Below are 17,229 nucleotides of genomic sequence, written 5' to 3'. Positions count from 1 at the left end.
CATGTTGCTCAGGCTGGTCTTGAACTCCCACCTCGGCCTTCCAATGTGCTGGGATTACAGGTGTGAGCCACAGTGACTGGCCTGTACATTTTTTAAATTTCAATGTCTAATATGGTGTCCACTGAATTAAGAATTCTTTTGAGAAAATGAATCAATAAATCTATACACTGCCTCCTTTATCCAGTGAGGTATGGCTGGATCAGCTTCATGACATACATGCCAGTAGTCTTCTTCGCCTTCTCCTCCTCCTCCTTTTTTACAAATAAAAATTGTATATGTTGAAGGTGTACAACTTGATGTTTTGTTATATGTATACACTTAAATGATCACCACAGTCAAGCTCATTAACATATCATCGCCTCACATGATTACTTTTCTTTTTCTTTGGACATAGAAGCAGGCTTGATAGATGCAGTTCTCTTGGCATTTGGGTAGAAGCAGGACAGGAAACTGCTGTTCTCTTCCTGAGAACTTTCTTGAGAGCTGAATAGGAGGCAGCATGGCAGCTGAGCATCGGTTCTGCTTTCTCTACCTCTGTCTCTTTCCCTTAGGCCTAAAATGAAGCTCTAAGCCAAGCAAAGGTCTGAAGTCATCCAGACTAATTGGGAAGCGGGTAGGCTCCAGGGAGTGGCTCTCAGAGAGCAGACCATTTACTGAGCTCTGTGTGAGAAAGACTCAAAATGGTTCACAGCAATACAGAGTTTTGTTCTCTCCTCTTATCCTGCTTTCTCCTCCCTGCTACTTTTCCCTGACACCTATCTTGTTGTGAAGACAGGAATTGCATTAGATAAAATCAAATGTTTTTTATTTTTTTTTGAGATGGAATCTTGCTCTGTTGCCCAGGCTGGAGTGCTGTGGCACGATCTTGGTTCACTGCAACCTCCGCTTCCTGGGTTCAAGCGATTCTCCTGCCTCAGCCTTCTGAATAGCTGGGATTACAGGCATGCGCTGCCACGCCCAGCTAATTTTTGTATTTTTAGTAGAGACGGGGTTTCACCATGTTGGCCAGGTGGGTCTTGAACTCCTGCCCTCAGGTGATCCGCCCTCCTCAGCCTTCCAAAGTGCTGAGATTACAGGCGTGAGACACCGTGTCTGGCCTCTTTTTTTTTTTTTTTTGATGGAGTCTCTCTCTCTGTTGCCCAGGCTAGAGTGCAGTGGCGTAATCTCAGCTCACTGCAACCTCTGCCTCTCAAGTTCAAACAGTTTTCCTGCCTCAGCCTCCCAAGTAGCTGGGGTTACAGGTGCCCACCACCATGCCCAGCTAATTTTTGTATTTTTAGTAGACCTGGGGTTTCACCGTGTTGGCCGGGTTGGTCTTGAACTCCTGACCTCAGGTGATCCGCCCACCTCAGCCTCCCAAAGTGCTGGGATTACAGGCGTGAGCCACCATGCCCGGCCCCAAATATTTCTTTTCATGTTTCTTCTCCCACTTCTCCTTCTCTCTCATCCATTCATTTTTTTCATTTATTGAACACTAATTAAGAGCCTATTAGGTGACAGGAGGTACTAGATATTGGGTATACAGAAGCTATTAGAGGTTTTTCTCTTAAGACCCTTATACTTTAGAGGGGGATACTCCCCTCCTCCCATTTCCTGGGATCATGCAAGAGAAAAGACTTCAGGTGATCCACATTCATTCCTTCCTTCACTGCTTGATTTGTCACCAAGTGGTTATTGAGGATATGCTGTTTGCTAGGTACTACTTTACTTATTTATTTGTTTATTTAGAGATGGGGTCTCACAATGTTGCCCAGTCTACAGGACAGTGGCTATTCACAGGTGTGAGCACAGCACACTACAGCCTCAAACTCCTGAGTTCAAGAGATCCTCCTGCCTCAGTCTCTCGAGTAGCTGGGACTACAGGGATGTGCCACCACACATGGCTTAGGCTCTACTTTAGCTGCTACTTGTTAAGGATGAAGATAGGAGGAGACACTCTTATTTTATTTGATTTCTTTTTTTTTTTTTTTTTGACAGAGTTTTGCTCTGTTGCCAGGCTGGAGTGCTCACTGCAACCTCCACCTCCCAGGTTCAAGCAATTCTCCTGCTTCAGCCTCCCGAGTAGCTGGGACCACAGGCATGAACCACCACACCAGGCTAATTTCTGTATTTTTAGTAGAGACAGGGTTTCACCATATTGGCCAGGATGGTCTTGATCTCCTGACCTTGTGATCTGCCCGCCTCGGCCTCCCAAAGTGCTAGGATTACAGGTGTGAGCCACCATGCCCGGCCTATTTGACTTCTTTCTAAGTTGTTATGGGATGTAGATCTTTCCAGGGACTTTTTGGCATGAGAACAAAAGAGGAGTTGGGTCACAGTGCCAAGATGGGACTATCCCAGAATGCAGAAGGACATTTGCTAGTGGTCTGATAGGTCGATTTACCTTTTGTGCATAGACATAAGTAAAAGGGAGAGGGAGAGGCAGGAAGAAGAGGGGTCAAAAAGGCAAGAAATGAGAGGAAAAAGTATTAGCTGTAGAAATGGCCAGGATGCCCTGGATGCCCTGAGGATTTTCTTGTATAATGACTGGACCCCCTCTGATGGGTGCTACCTGCTCTGTGAGAGTTTCCTCATTGCCTTTGGCTGGGAACAGGGCATTGGAGGAAGATAAACTAAGGTCTCTGTTTTGGAAGGAGATGAATGTTGAGGTAGCTGAGTGGTGATAGCTCTTCCTCCCTCCTTTTTTCCCCATAACTTTTCCTCCTGCTGAGGCAGGGACGCTGGGCTACAAGGGAAGCCTGGACTTCCTGGCCAGCATCCTCCTCAGAGCCACCTTTACCTCCTGGCTCTTCAGACTGTAGATGAGGGGGTTCAGCAGGGGGGTTATCACACTGTACTGCACGGAGAGCACTTGTTCTAGGGCTGAGCCAGATGCTGGAATCATATACCTTGAAGGGAATTGTACAGAAAAGCAACTTATGACAATGGTGACAATTCTCACTGTTGGCAGCAATAATTCATCCCCTCCCTGCAAAGACTCTGCAAAGGAGGTCTTCAGAGCTGACTTTCTCTGGTGGCAGCATCTAGAAATGGCTGATCTGTGAAAAGTCAGTCATTTCTGCCTTCAAACACTTCCAAACATAAGTGAGCTCACACAGAAAGTTATAGGAGCTGCCCCGAGGAACAAGCAGTTCTGCAGCATATCAAATGTTGCAGGTTAGAACAGAATTAATATTGGGGACAGATAAAAAGTAAAACAAAAAAATAGAATGAATAATAATATCATACATTTCCATAGCATTTCATACTCTTCAAAGCATTCTTCCTTAATAGCTGTGATGATCATATGAGGAATTTTTCTCTTTATACACAACAGTACAGAAACGCAATGTTCTCACCTTGTGATGACTGTTCATGTAAACTGTACACTTAGTTTAAAATATCGTCATTATTCCCAACCTTCATGGCCCTGGGAATTACCCTCAGAATCCTTGCCTGTTATTTGTATAAAGTTGAGTGGAACAAACATTTGCCCTTTTAGTTGCATTTTTCTTTGGTTTGGAAAAGAAGCCAAAACTGGTAAAATGGGAGATAAAAATGTGTTAAGCACATAATATGATTCCAAAATAATAAGATTAAAATCTTGGGTACATTTTGCTAAGTACCACTCGGAGTATCTTCCAAAGAAGCACTAGTATTATTATTTATTTGCAGTGGCACCATCATTATTGGAATAGACTATCCCAAGGATGTTCCTTGTGGGTTCCAATGTGTTTGGTTATAAAAAAAATAGTCATTTTACTGTTATTTTTTGTCATCTAACTTATTCTTTCTAACATTTCTATGAAGTAAGTAGTCACATCCCTCATGGCAGATGAGGAAACTGAGACAAAGGGAGATGAAGAGATTGGTGCACAGCTCAGGTAAGCTCTCCTGGGCTATTTATTTATTTATTTATTTTACTTATTTTTTTTTCTCTCCTAGCCACTGGACTACAGGTACTGGGCTATTCTTACCATCCATTTCCATCCTGGACTTCTCTCTGAATCACAGGCAGGTGAGAAAAATATTGAACAATTTGTGCAAATCTACCTTCAATTTACTAGTAGAAAGCACAGGCATCGATTGTTTTGTCTCCTGGTGAGGGAGGACTAGGCAGACAGAGCTGTCGATGTCTGAGAAGCATGGTAAGGAAGGGCACGGATCTCGGTCCAACTTATGGCTCCATTACTAGCTTGTTCTGGGACTGCTGAGAAATTACCTGATTACTCCCCAAACTCAGGTTCTTTACCTAAAAGTGGGTTGATAATATTTCTCTTGTAGTGTGATGGATACTCAAATTGGCTTGGCGATGTAAAGCAGCTTGTGTATAGTAAATGGCTAGTAAATTGCTACAACATATGTAAGCTTTGGCGACATCTCCCAGTAGGAAATAAAGATGGCATATGTTTCAAAGAAAGGTTTTATTTTTTGTCTAACACTGATTAAAAATCTAACAAAGCTTCTCTGATTTCTTTTTGCGAACTCCCAAATCTTAGGTTAATGAAGTAGAAAAATCTTTATCTTGGTCTAAATTCATTTTCCAGAATGGACAATTGAAGCCTCAGAAAGAAAATAGATTCTGTTTTTTTTTTTTTTTTTGACCTAGTCTCACTCTGTCACCCAGGCTGGAGTGCAGTAGTGCAATTTCCGCTCACTGCAACCTCTGCCTCCGAGGCTGAAGCAATTCTCCTGCCTCAGCCTCCCGAGTAGCTAGGACTACAGGTGCACGTGACCACACCTGGCTGATTTTTATATTTTCAGTAGAGATGGGGTTTCGCCATGTTGACCAGGCTGGTCTCCAACTCCTGGGCTCAAGTGATCCACCCACCTCAGCCTCCCAAAGTGCTGGGGTTACAGGCATGAGCCACTGTACCCAGCTGAAAATAGATTCTTTACAATTCATACAGCTAGTCCATGGTAGAGCCAGCACTAGAGCCTAGGCCTTTTGAATGTCCTGCTATTTTGTAATGCTCTCTTCTGCCAACGGAGACCACTTAGGGTAAGGAATATCCCGCATTTATATTCAGGGGTATAGTATGACATACCTGAGAACTCCTGAAGTATAAAAGATGGTGACCACAAGGAAATGGGAAGAGCAGGTGGAAAAGATCTTGCTCCGACCTGTAGCAGAGTTGATCCTCAGGGCTGTCATGATGATACAGCTGTAGGAACCCAGCAAAAGGACAAGGGTGCCAAGGCCCAGGACTGACATGGTAGTGAGAATGGAGACGATGCTAGCGCAGGGGTCAGAACAGGTCAATAAGAGCACCGGAGGAAGCTCGCAGGCAAAACTGTGGATGACATTAGGGCCGCAGAAGTGCTGCTGAGCCAGGAGGAGGGTGTTAATTAGGCCAGTCCCCATTCCTATGGCCCAGGATGCCCCCACCAGGCCAGCACACACCCTCCTGTTTATAATCACCACATACAACAGTGGATGACACATGGCCTGAAACCGGTCATAGGCCATGACCGAGAGGAGGCAAGCCTCAGTAGCTCCAGAAAATATGACCAGGGAGATCTGAGTGAAACACTCAAGGAAGGATATTGTCTCCCCCTTAGAAAGAAGGTTCTCTAGCAGTTTAGGCACAATAATTGAGGAATAGAAAGCATCCAGGAAGGAGAGTTGTCTCAGGAAGAAGTACATAGGGGTGCAGAGGTGGGAATCAGTACTGATCACCAGCACCATCAGCAGGTTCCCCAGTAGAGTCAAGAGGTAAATCACCAGGAACAGAACAAAGAGCAGTGCCTGAACCTGAGGGTTGTTGGACAGTCCTAGGAGAATAAACACAGTGACTGTGGTCATGTTGCTGACTTCCATGGAGCATTCAGGTTTCCCTTTTGACTGACAAGAACTAAAAAGAATGCTCCAGTGGGTTATCAGTGGCAGGGCATGCCTGGGGATGAGGCATTGGCAGTAAAGCTTCAAGGCAGACCCAGGACAGATTCTGTAGCAGAGGAAGCCTTGCCATGTCAGGCTGCGTCAGTCCTTTCCAGCTCAGGGCAGTAACCTATTGGCTGTGGTGGAGAAGGTGGGGAGGAAAAGTTCAGAGAATCAGACCTAGAAAGGAAGGAGAAGAAAGCAGCAATTATTCAGTCTGGAGAAGGAAGGGAAGGGAGTTGGGACTCCTGAGTGCTGAGAAGTGCTATTCTCTACTTCCAAAAGGAACCGAGCTCAAACCACAGGAAGGCTAACTGGCATAGTGAATAAGCAATAAACATTTTGGCTGACCATCTGGGTGGCAGACCATGATGAGTGTCTGAGTGACTGATAGAAGTATTATGAGACCTGGTCATGGTGCAAGTTGTCTCTCAGCCACTGTAAGCTCATAAGCCACTTAAGTTTCTAAAAAAAAAAAAAGTCTGAGAAAAATAGATGGTTTCTAAAGTTCATTCCAGATTAGATTTTTTTTTTTTTTTTTTTTTGAGACAGAGTCTTACTCTTTTGCCCAGGCTGGAGTGCAGTGGCACGATCTCGACTCACTGAAGCCTCCACCTCCTAGGTTGAAGCTATTCTCGTGCCTCAGTCCAGCTTAGATTTTTTTAAATTTAATTTTTAATTTAATTTTTTTCTAGGGATGGGGTCTCATTATATTGCCCAGGCTAGTTTCAAACTCTTGGCCTTAAGTGATCATCCCTCCTTAGCCTCCCAAAGTACTGGGATTACAGGTGAGTCAATATACCTACTACCAGCTTAGAAATTAAAAAGATGGGGAAACAGTCTTCCTGTGGTGTTTCTGGTACTAAATAGAAGCCCCTTCTCCCATTCTGTGTCAATCCAAGTAGAAATGACACATGAATGTATTGGTTTCACAGAAGCCAGGCAGGGGGAAACCCTTGAATAGAAATGAGGACTGTGAACATCGGTCATTCCAAGGCCTTCCCATTTCAGCATTTCTGTGAATCTATGATGCCCACTGTTTTCACTGCAATTTCAGGTCTTAACATGGGCATCCACAAAGACTATGCTATTCTTTGGAATATTTGGAAAAAGATTTGGAAAAAGCCAAATCAAACTTGGATATTTTTATGCATCAGAAGGAAGTTAAAGACCAAAAATAGGGGTGAGAAATAAAAGAACACCTGGTAAAATGGACAGTTAGAGGATTTAGTCTAGATCAGAGGAAGGTAAAGTGGCTAGTCCCCCTCCCCTTGATGGTTAACTCAAGAAGGTTATCAATGAGAATCTGATCTCGATTCATGACTTGTACCCTCGTGGGTTCCCAGAGTGGGTAGTTTTAGGAGAAGATTGATTTGAATGAGAAGGAAATTTGCCTTCACTTGGGCTCCCTAGGCCAACGAGATGCCCTGAATGGAGGATCCCTGTATGGCATCCTTTCCAAGAGTGGAGCAAAAGCCACAGATAGGAGAGGGCTCTGTGGGCTTCTATCGGCTTTGTCCTTCCTTTAGAGAATGCAGGGGTGAAACTTCTGAGCGAGGAAATATCCCCATAGCCTTTCTGTCCAAGGGGAAGCCTTGAATCTACCTCCCAAATAATAATGGCCAGAGGGACTTGATCTCAGCTCTAGGCCTTGGAGAGTGAGGGAGGTCCCTGGAGAGGTCCTTAAGCAGGAGGCCTGTTCTGATTCTGAACGGGTTCTCCAGGGCCAACTACTTCTCCCTTGTATCATTCTCATTTCAGTGGGTTGCATCATCAAGAGGGCCCTAGGGTGGCCAATAATTTCATTTTTTCAAGTCTACTATTATGTTTTAAAGTATCTTTGAAAAAAAATTTTTTTACGGTATTTTCAAATTACATACTATTCCTATTGAGCATGTATGGCAGCTTAACTACCCGAATACAAAGTTTAAGAAGCCAAAACTAATCTAGCTTTGTTTTAAAAAATTGTGCTATTGTTGTAATGGTTAACAAAGCGAGGAGAAGCACCACTCAAATCATAATGTTACAATCTCTTTGTTCAGTTGGATTATGGGTTGGTCAAACATTAGACTTCACACAGGCATGGCTATGATGCAGTGATTCCTCAGAAGAAGACGAAATTCTCAAATCACCTCAGATGTAATATTAGGAGCAGAATTTAACATTTTCAACATAATACACCATAAAAGTCAGGACTAGTTCTTATCTGATCCCCACCTTGTAACTTCAGTAACCAAAGACATACTGGTCTATAATGAATTATTTCTAATTAACTAACCAGCCTTTCTCACAAAGAGGAGATTCTTTTTGATGGGGAGAAATGCAAATTTAAGTCTGAACTGAGAAATCAACTTAACAGTTAGAACTTAATTGTATTTCTGCATTTAAAAAAAGTTTAGGCTTTAGCAAGTATTACTTAACCCTAAGGAACCATTTTAGCTTCCAAAAAGCCAATCCAAATCCCCCAGCAAAAGAGAACCCCATCTGCTCAAATATGTGAGTACTTCACCCCAGGAGCAAACTCCTCTGCATTTGGATTGATTGCTGTGGATCACAGGGTCTTTTAGAGAGGAGTCATCATTGATAATAAGGTCATTCAACTGGTCTTGGACTTGGTCCACAGTTCGTGGGAAGTCTTGAACCGGAATAAACTACTCATGTTCTTCCCCTTCAGCATTTCTTGGAAACAGTGTGGTAGGAATTATTAAGAAATTATTTTAGGCAGATAGAGAGGAAAAGGGGTCCTTGGAAAGTTTTCATCTCTTTTAAAGCAGCTCCAGAAATGTTTCCTGTCTTAGAGCCAGGCTGGCAACTTTTGATATGCAAATGTCAGGTGTGCAACCTTTGATATGCAAATGCAAGCCATTAGAAATTGGGTCCACCCAACATGGCGATTCCCACCATTGTCCTCTTTCCCTTGCCTCCTTACGTGCCTGGCAACAAGGCCACCCCCACATATCCCCATGTTTGTAGAACATCATGGTGCCCTGCCTTTGTATATTAAAAGGCTAGAGTGGGAGGGCCAGTTTTTTTCGCGGGCTATGTGAATGACGTGCCTGGTCAAACCAATCCCCTAAGCCCTATGCAAATCAGACACCACCTCCTCCAGCCTCTTCATACACCTGGCTGGTTTCCACCACACTTGGGGTCTCTTCTGTCGGCTTTAGAGACCCCCACCCTCTGTCTCTGTACGGGGAGCTTCTTCTTTCTTTCTTCTCCATTCTTTCTTGCCTATTAAACTCTCTGCTCCTTAAAACCACTCCATGTGTGTCCCTGACGTTTTATCTAATTTAGCATGGGGACCAAGAATCCTGGTGTTCCTCTGCTTATCAGAGCCATATCATTTTGGTGCATTGGCTGGGAATCTGAGGTAAAGCCTTTGTTGGAGTGGTGAATATGAAAGCAAGCTTAAAACCTGTTCTATCATTCAGAGGTGCTCTTAGCCTCTATATTAGAATAAATCAAATAAATCAATAGGCATCTGTCAGCCTAGTACATATGCTTAGCGTTGGCTGCCGTACTGAAGACACAGATATGAAGCTTTCTGGGAAGAACATGGAGAATCCCCCATTACCCACTGGTATTGGTAATGTTGGCCATGTTTGAACTAGCTTCTTTTTACAGGGAGACTTTGCTATCATGCGAGGCTGGGAAAAGTTCTGAGGCAACTGAGAATTCCAGACCAGGGCCTGGTGTGATTCAAATGCCTCTGGACCGAATGCAGCCTCTGACAGTCCATTCCAGTGTTGGTAGAGAATCCTCAACTGTCCTGTTGCAAAACTCTTCTTCCTTCTCTATCTGTGGCCTCTTACTCTTTCTCTGCGTGAAATGTGCAAGGATTTTTACAGTCTAGGAACAGCATTTTCCCCTTTTCCCCTGAGGAGAGGTTACTTGCTACAACTTCTCTGGTGAGCACGTGATATTTCTAAGCTACCTAGTGGAAATAAAAATCCTCTTCATGAGACACATTGCTGGTTCTCTGTGGTACATTGCAGCTTTGGAACTTTTCTATTTTGCGCTTTTCTACTGCTACTTCTGTAAGTGGGAAAGCTCTGCTTTTAACAGTTAGGAGTAAGATGTTTTCCATAGACAAATTTTAGTCTTGATATTGTCCCACTGGCAGGAAAATGGCCATTCGGTTTCTACGTTCCTTTAAGGCACCTATTGTGTCTCCTATTAAGACTACTTAATTAGTAAGGGGATTTTAAGTCCGGAAGTTAACCAGAACCATTCTTCTACGGGTAAGTGCTTTAGTATGAGCCATAATAGCATATAAAGTTCAATCTAGCATGCCCCCCACCTTAAAGGGGGCTTGCCCAATTAAGTGGTTTTTCTTGAAATCCATTTTGTTTTTTTTTTTTTTGGAAGACACACAGGCCACAGAAGTCTAGGAGGTCAAAGGGAAATAAAAGGCAGAGGACTAAGACTTCTTGGGGACAGCATGACTAAGGCCCAAAAGTATAGTTCCTCTGGTGTCGTGGTGCAGAGGGTCATGCCTGCAGTCATGGGCGGCACATTTAAATGGGTGCCAGGGATTCAGGAGCCAAGGAGAGAAAATTATTGGGGGACGCCTCCTACTGCTTTCTTCTCCATCCTGGATCACATACCAAAAGGAAGGAGACGCTTTTCTTCTCACTTCTCTTTCTAGATGGGCAACAGATCATCTTCAACATGCACTCCCCTGGAGTGTATTTTGGAGCACTGGGACTTCTTTGACCTTTAAACTTTGAAGAAAAAGTGGCTTATTTTCTTCTGCACAAGGGCATGGCATTTTTATTAGACCTTTGCAAGTGTTGCAAAATCAACCCAGCTCTTTTAGCAACCATATTGGGCAGGCCCAGGGAAAATAGTTCCCCAAAATTAAAAAAGTAACTTTCAGGGAAATAATCTGAGTGTCCCCCTTATTTTGGGCCCCTTCACATTCCCTTCTCATTGCAGGACCTTAGTCAAGTGAAGGAGTCTTAGACCAATTTTCTGATAACACTGATAGGTGTATAGAAGCTTTCCAAAGTTTAACTCAGGTATTTGACTTCTCATGGAGGAATGTTATGCTGCTCCTAAGCCAAACCCTACTGCAGCTAAAACAGGCAGCTCTGCAAACAGGAGAAAATTTTGGGGATGAGCAATATGTCTTCTATAGTAGGCCAAAAGGGAAAGAGAAAATAGAGAAGGCAAAGAAATAGGGGAAACACCATTCCCAATAGGAAAAGAGGCAATACCTCTTGACAACCCTAACTGGAACTCCTTTCCATGGTGTTTTTCCTTCTTTCATGGTTTAAAAAGGCTTCTATCTCTTTTATAATGTTCTCCCAACCTGGAAAAGTTAATTTTCCAAAACTTAAAAATGTTTGGCTTAGAGTTGAGCTGGGGGAAGGGAACCCAGAAGACTAATATGCTGGCAAAAGGGTAAAAATTTCTTACCAGTCAGGCTTTTGTCTTCTCTCTCACTGTGCAAAATGGCAAAAGGGATAATAAGAATCATTGTTGGAGAGGTTCCAAGATGGCCAAATAGGAACAGCTCCAGTCTAGAGCTACCAGCATGAGTGATGCAGAAGATGGGTGATTTCTGCATTTCCAACTGAGGTACCAGGTTCATCTCACTGGGGCTTGTTGGACAGTAGGTGCAGCCCACAGAGCATGAGCCAAAGCAGGGTGGGGCATTGCCTAACCCGGGAAGTGCAAGGGGTTGGGGAATTCCCTTTCCTAGCCTAGGGAAGCCATGACAGATGGTACCCGGAAAATAGGGACACTCCCACCCTAATACTGTGCTTTTCCAACGGTCTTAGCAAACGGCACACCAGGAGATTATATCTTGTGCCTGGCTCAGAGGGTCCCATGCCCACGGAGCCTCGCTCACTGCTAGCACAGCAGTCTGAGATCAAACTGCAAGGCGGCAGCGAGGCTGAGGGAGGGGCATCGCTGCTGAGGCTTGAGTAGGTAAACAAAGCGGCCGGGAAGCTCAAACTGGGAGGAGCCCACTACAGCTCAAGGAGGCCTGCCTGCCTCTGTAGACTCCACCTCTGGGGGCAGGGTGTAGCTGAATCAAAGGCAGCAGAAACTTCTGCAGACTTAAGTGTCCCTGACTGACAGCTTTGAAGAGAGTAGTGGTTCTTCCAGCATGGAGTTTGAGATCTGAGAATGGACAGACTGCCTCCTCAAGTGGGGCCCTGACCCCTGAGTAGCCTAACTGGGAGGCACTTCCAAGTAGGGGCCAACTGACACTCATATGGCCGGGTGCCCCTCTGAGACAAGGCTTCCAGAGGAAGGATCAGGCAGCAACATTTGCCATTCTGCAATATTTGCTGTTCTGCAGCCTCCACTGGTGATACCCAGGCAAACAGGGTCTGGAGAGGACCTCCAGAAAACTCCAACAGACCTGCAGCTGAGGGTCCTGAGTATTAGAAGGAAAACTAACAAACAGAAAGGACATCCACACCAAAACCCCATCGGTACGTCACCAACATCAAAGACCAAAGGTAGATAAAACCACAAAGATGGGGAGAAACCAGAGCAGAAAAGCTGAAAATTCTAAAAATCAGAGAGCCTCTTCTTCTCCAAAGGAGTGCAGCTCCTCACTAGCAATGGAACAAAGCTGGATGGAGAATGACTTTAATGAGTTGAGAGAAAAAGGCTTCAGATGATTGGTAATAACAAACTTCTCTGAGCTAAAGGAGGATGTTCGAACCCATCACAACGAAGCTAAAAACCTTGAAAAAAGATTAGACGAATGGCTAACTAGAATAAACAGTGTAGAGAAGACCTTAAATGACCTGATGGAGTTGAAAACCATGGCACAAGAACTACGTGACGCATGCACAAGCTTCAGTAGCCAATTTGATCAACTGGAAGAAAAGGTATCAGTGATTGAAGAACAAATGAATGAAATGAAGCAAGAAGAGGAGTTTAGAGAAAAAAGAGTAAAAAGAAATGAAAAAACCTCCAAGAAATATGGGACTATGTGAAAAGACCAAATCTATGTCTGATTGGTGTACCTGAAAGTGATGGGGAGAATGGAACCAAGTTGGAAAACACCCTGCAGGATATTATCCAGGAGAACTTCCCCAACCTAGCAAGGCAGGCTAACATTCAAATTCAGGAAATACAGATAACGCCACAAAGATACTCCTCGACAACAGCAATTCCAAGACACATAATTTCAGATGCACCAAAGTTGAAATGAGGGAAAAAATGTTAAGGGCAGCCAGAGAGAAAGTTTGGGTTAACCACAAAGGGAAGCCTATCAGACTAACAGCAGATCTCTTGGCAGAAGCTCTACAAGCCAGAAGAGAGTGGGGGCCAATATTCAACATTCTTTTTTTTTTTTTTTTTTTTTTAGTATTTATTGATCATTCTTGGGTGTTTCTCAGAGAGGGGGATTTGGCAGGGTCATAGGACAATAGTGGAGGGAAGGTCAGCAGATAAACAAGTGAACAAGGGTCTCTGGTTTTCCTAGGCAGAGGACCCTGTGGCCTTCCGCAGTGTTTGTGTCCCTGGGTACTTGAGATTAGGGAGTGGTGATGACTCTTAACGAGCATGCTGCCTTCAAGCATCTGTTTAACAAAGCACATCTTGCACCGCCCTTAATGCATTTAACCCTGAGTGGACACAGCACATGTTTCAGAGAGCACGGGGTTGGGGGGTAAGGTTATAGATTAACAGCATCCCAAGGCAGAAGAATTTTTCTTAGTACAGAACAAAATGGAGTCTCCTACGTCTACTTCCCTCTACAGAGACACAGCAACAATCTGATTTCTCTATCTTTTCCCCACATTTCCCCCTTTTCTATTCGACAAAACCACCATCGTCATCATGGCCCGTTCTCAATGAACTGTTGGGTACACCTCCCAGACGGGGTGGCTGCCAGGCAGAGGGGCTCTTCACTTCTCAGAAGGGGCGGCTGGGCAGAGACGCTCCTCACCTCCCAGATGGGGTCATGGCCAGGCAGAGGCACTCCTCACATCCCAGATGGAGCGGTGGGGCAGAGGCGCTCCCCACATCTCAGACGAAGGGCAGCCAGGCAGAGACGCTCCTCACTTCCTAGACAGGATGGCAGCTGGGAAGAGGCGCTCCTCACTTCCCAGACTGGGCAGCCAGGGAGTGGGTCTCTCACATCCCAGATGATGGGTGGCCAGGCAGAGACGCTCCTCACTTCCCAGACAGGGTGGTGGCCGGGCAGAGGCTGCAATCTCGGCACTTTGGGAGGCCAAGGCAGGCGGCTGGGAGGTGGAGGTTGTAGCGAGCTGAGATCACTCCACTGCACTCCAGCCTGGGCAACACTGAGCACTGAGTGAGTGAGACTCCGTCTGCAATCCCAGCACCTTGGGAGGCCGAGGCTGGCAGATCACTCGTGGTTAGGAGCTGGAGACCAGCCCAGCCAACACAGTGAAACCCCGTCTCCACCAAAAAAATATGAAAACCAGTCAGGCGTGGCGGTGCATGCCTGCAATTGCAGGCATTGGGTAGGTTGAGGCAGGAGAATCAGGCAGGGAGGTTGCAGTGAGCTGAGATGGTGGCAGTACAGTCCAGCTTCAGCTCGGCATCAGAGGTAGACCATAGAGAGAGAGGGAGAGGGAGAGGGAGACCATGGGGAGAGGGAGAGGGAGAGGGAGCTCAACATTCTTAAAGAAAAGAATTTTCAACCCAGAATTTCATATCCAGCCGAACTAAGCTTCATAAGTGAAGGAAAAATAAAATCACTTACAGACAAGCAAATGCTGAGAGATTTTGTCACCACCAGGCCTGCCTTACAAGAGCTCCTGGAGGAAGCACTAAACATGGAAAGGAACAACCGGTACCTTTCCACTGCAAAACATGCCACTGCAAAAACATGCCAAATTGTAAAGACCATCGATGCTAGGAAGAAATTGCAGCAACTAATGAGAAAAATAACCAGCTAACATCATAATGACAGGATCAAATTAACACATAACAATATTAACCTTAAATGTAAATGGGCTAAATGCTCCAATTAAGAGACACAGACTGGCAAATTGGATAAAGAGTCAAGACCCATCAGTGTGCTGTATTCAGGAGACCCATCTCACATGCAAAGACACATATAGGCTCAAAATAAAGGGATACAGGAAGATCTACCAAGCAAATGGAAAACAAAAAAAAAGCAGAGGTTGCAATCCTAGTCTCTGATAAAACAGACTTTAAACCAACAAAGATCAAAAGAGACAAAGAAGGCCATTACATAATGGTAAAGGGATCAATTCAACAAGAAGAGCTAACTATCCTAAATATATATGCACCCAATACAGGCGCACCCAAGTTCATAAAGCAAGTCCTTAGAGACCTACAAAGAGACTTAGACTCCCACACAATAATAATGGGAGATTTTAACACCCCACTGTCAACATTAGACAGATCAACGAGACAGAAAGTTAACAAGGGTATCCAGGAATAGAACTCAGCTGTGCACCAAGCAGACCTAATAGACATCTACAGAACTCTCCACTCCACATCAACAGAATATACATTCTTCTCAGCACCACATCACACTTATTCCAAAATTGACCACATAGTTGGAAGTAAAGCACTCCTCAGCAAATGTAAAAGAACAGAAATTATAACAAACTGTCTCTCAGACCACAGTGCAATCAACTAGAACTCAGGATTAAGAAACTCACTCAAAACCACTCAACTACATGGAAACTGAACAACCTGCTCCTGAATGACTACTGGGTACATAATGAAATGAAGGCAGAAATAAAGATGTTCTTTGAAACCAATGAGAACAAAGACACAATATACTAGAATCTCTGGGACACATTAAAGCAGTAGGTAGAGGGAAATTTATAGCACTAAATGCCCACAAGAGAAAGCAGGAAAGATCTAAAATTGACACCCTAACATCACAATTAAAAGAACTGAGAAGTAAGAGCAAATAAATTCAAAAGCTAGCAGAAGGCAAGAAATAACTAAGAATAGAGCAGAACGGAAGGAGATAAAGACACAAAAAACCCTTCAAAAAATCAATGAATCCAGGAGCTGGTTTTTTGAAAACATCAACAAAATTGATAGACAGCTAGCAAGACTAATAAAGAAGAAAAGAGAGAAGAATCAAATAGACACAATTAAAAATGGTAAAGGGGGATCACCACCGATCCCACAGAAATACAAAGTACCATCAGAGAATACTATAAACACCTCTATGCAAATAAACTAGAAAATCTAGAAGAAATGAATAAATTCCTGGACACACACACCCTCCCAAGACTAAACCAGTAAGAAGTTGAATCCCAGAATGGACCAATATCAGGCTCTGAAATTGAGGCAATAATTAAGAGCCTACCAACCAAAAAAAGTCCAGGACCAGACGGATTCACAGCCAAATTCTACCAGAGGCACAAAGAGAAGCTGGTACCATTCCTTCTGAAACTACTCCAATCAATAGAAAAGAAGGGAATCCTCCCTAACTCATTTTATGAGGCCAGCATCATCCTGATACCAAAGCCTGGCAGAGGCACAACAAATAAAGAGAATTTTAGGCTAACATCCCTGATGAACATCCATGCAAAAATCCTCAATAAAATACTGGCAAACTGAATCCAGCAGCACATCAAAAAGCTTATCCACCACGATCAAGTTGGCTTCATCCCTGGGATGCAAGGCTGGCTCAACATACACAAATCAATAAACATAATCCATCATATAAACAAAACCAAAGACAAAAACCACATGATTATCTCAATAGATGCAGAAAAGGCCTCGACAAAATTCAACAACCCTTCATGCTAAAAACTCTCAAAAATAGGTATCGATGGGATGTATCTCAAAATAACAAGAGCTATTTATGACAAACCCTCAGCCAATATCATACTGAATGGGCAAAAACTGGAAGCATTCCCTTTGAAAACTGGCATAAGACAGGGATGCCCTCTCTCAGCACTCCTATTCAACATAGTGTTGGAAGTTCTGGCGAGGGCAATCAGGCAGGAGAAATAAATAAAGAGTATTTGATTAGGAAAAGAGGAAGTCAAATTGTCCCTGTTTGCAGATGACATGATTGTATATTTAGAAAACCCCATCGTCTCAGCCCAAAATCTCCTTAAGCTGATAAGCACTTCAGCAAGGTCTCAGGATACAAAATCAATGTACAAAAATCACAAGCATTCTTATACACCAATAACAGACCAACAGAGAGCCAAATCATGAGTGAACTCCCATTCACAATTGCTTCAAAGAGAATAAAATACCTAGGAATCCAACTTACAAGGGATGTGAAGGACCTCTTCAAGGAGAACTACAAACCACTGCTCAACGAAATAAAAGAGGACACAAACAAATGGAAGAACATTCCATGCTCATGGATAGGAAGAATCAATATCGTGAAAATGGCCATACTGCCCAAGGTAATTTATAGA

The 17,229-nt window shown here is 43.9% G+C and overlaps 1 protein-coding gene across 1 annotated transcript; it reads right to left on the bottom strand.

Moving 5' to 3' along the window:
- Positions 1–2,725: 2,725 nt before the first annotated feature.
- On the bottom strand, positions 2,726–5,800 carry OR5BS1 (olfactory receptor family 5 subfamily BS member 1). Its single transcript, NM_001396061.1, has 2 exons — positions 5,028–5,800; positions 2,726–2,888 (listed from the first exon to the last, which is right to left on the bottom strand). Exons 1-2 carry the CDS (start codon positions 5,798–5,800, stop codon positions 2,726–2,728), a joined length of 936 nt encoding a protein of 311 aa, NP_001382990.1.
- Positions 5,801–17,229: the final 11,429 nt, after the last annotated feature.

Source organism: Homo sapiens, chromosome 12 (genome assembly GCF_000001405.40).
Source record: "Homo sapiens chromosome 12, GRCh38.p14 Primary Assembly".
Classification (NCBI taxonomy): domain Eukaryota; kingdom Metazoa; phylum Chordata; class Mammalia; order Primates; family Hominidae; genus Homo; species Homo sapiens.
The sequence above is the reverse complement of the archived record's forward strand: the minus strand, read 5'-3'. Positions and strand labels throughout refer to the sequence as shown.

Excerpts from the sequence above, each read along its gene's own strand:
- OR5BS1 (NM_001396061.1), bottom strand. The coding sequence starts at position 5,800 with ATGGAAGTCAGCAACATGACCACAGTCACTGTGTTTATTCTCCTAGGA. Across the intron at positions 2,889-5,027 it reads TATACTTCAGGAGTTCTCAG|GTATATGATTCCAGCATCTG; the intron begins GTATGTCATACT and ends ATTCCCTTCAAG.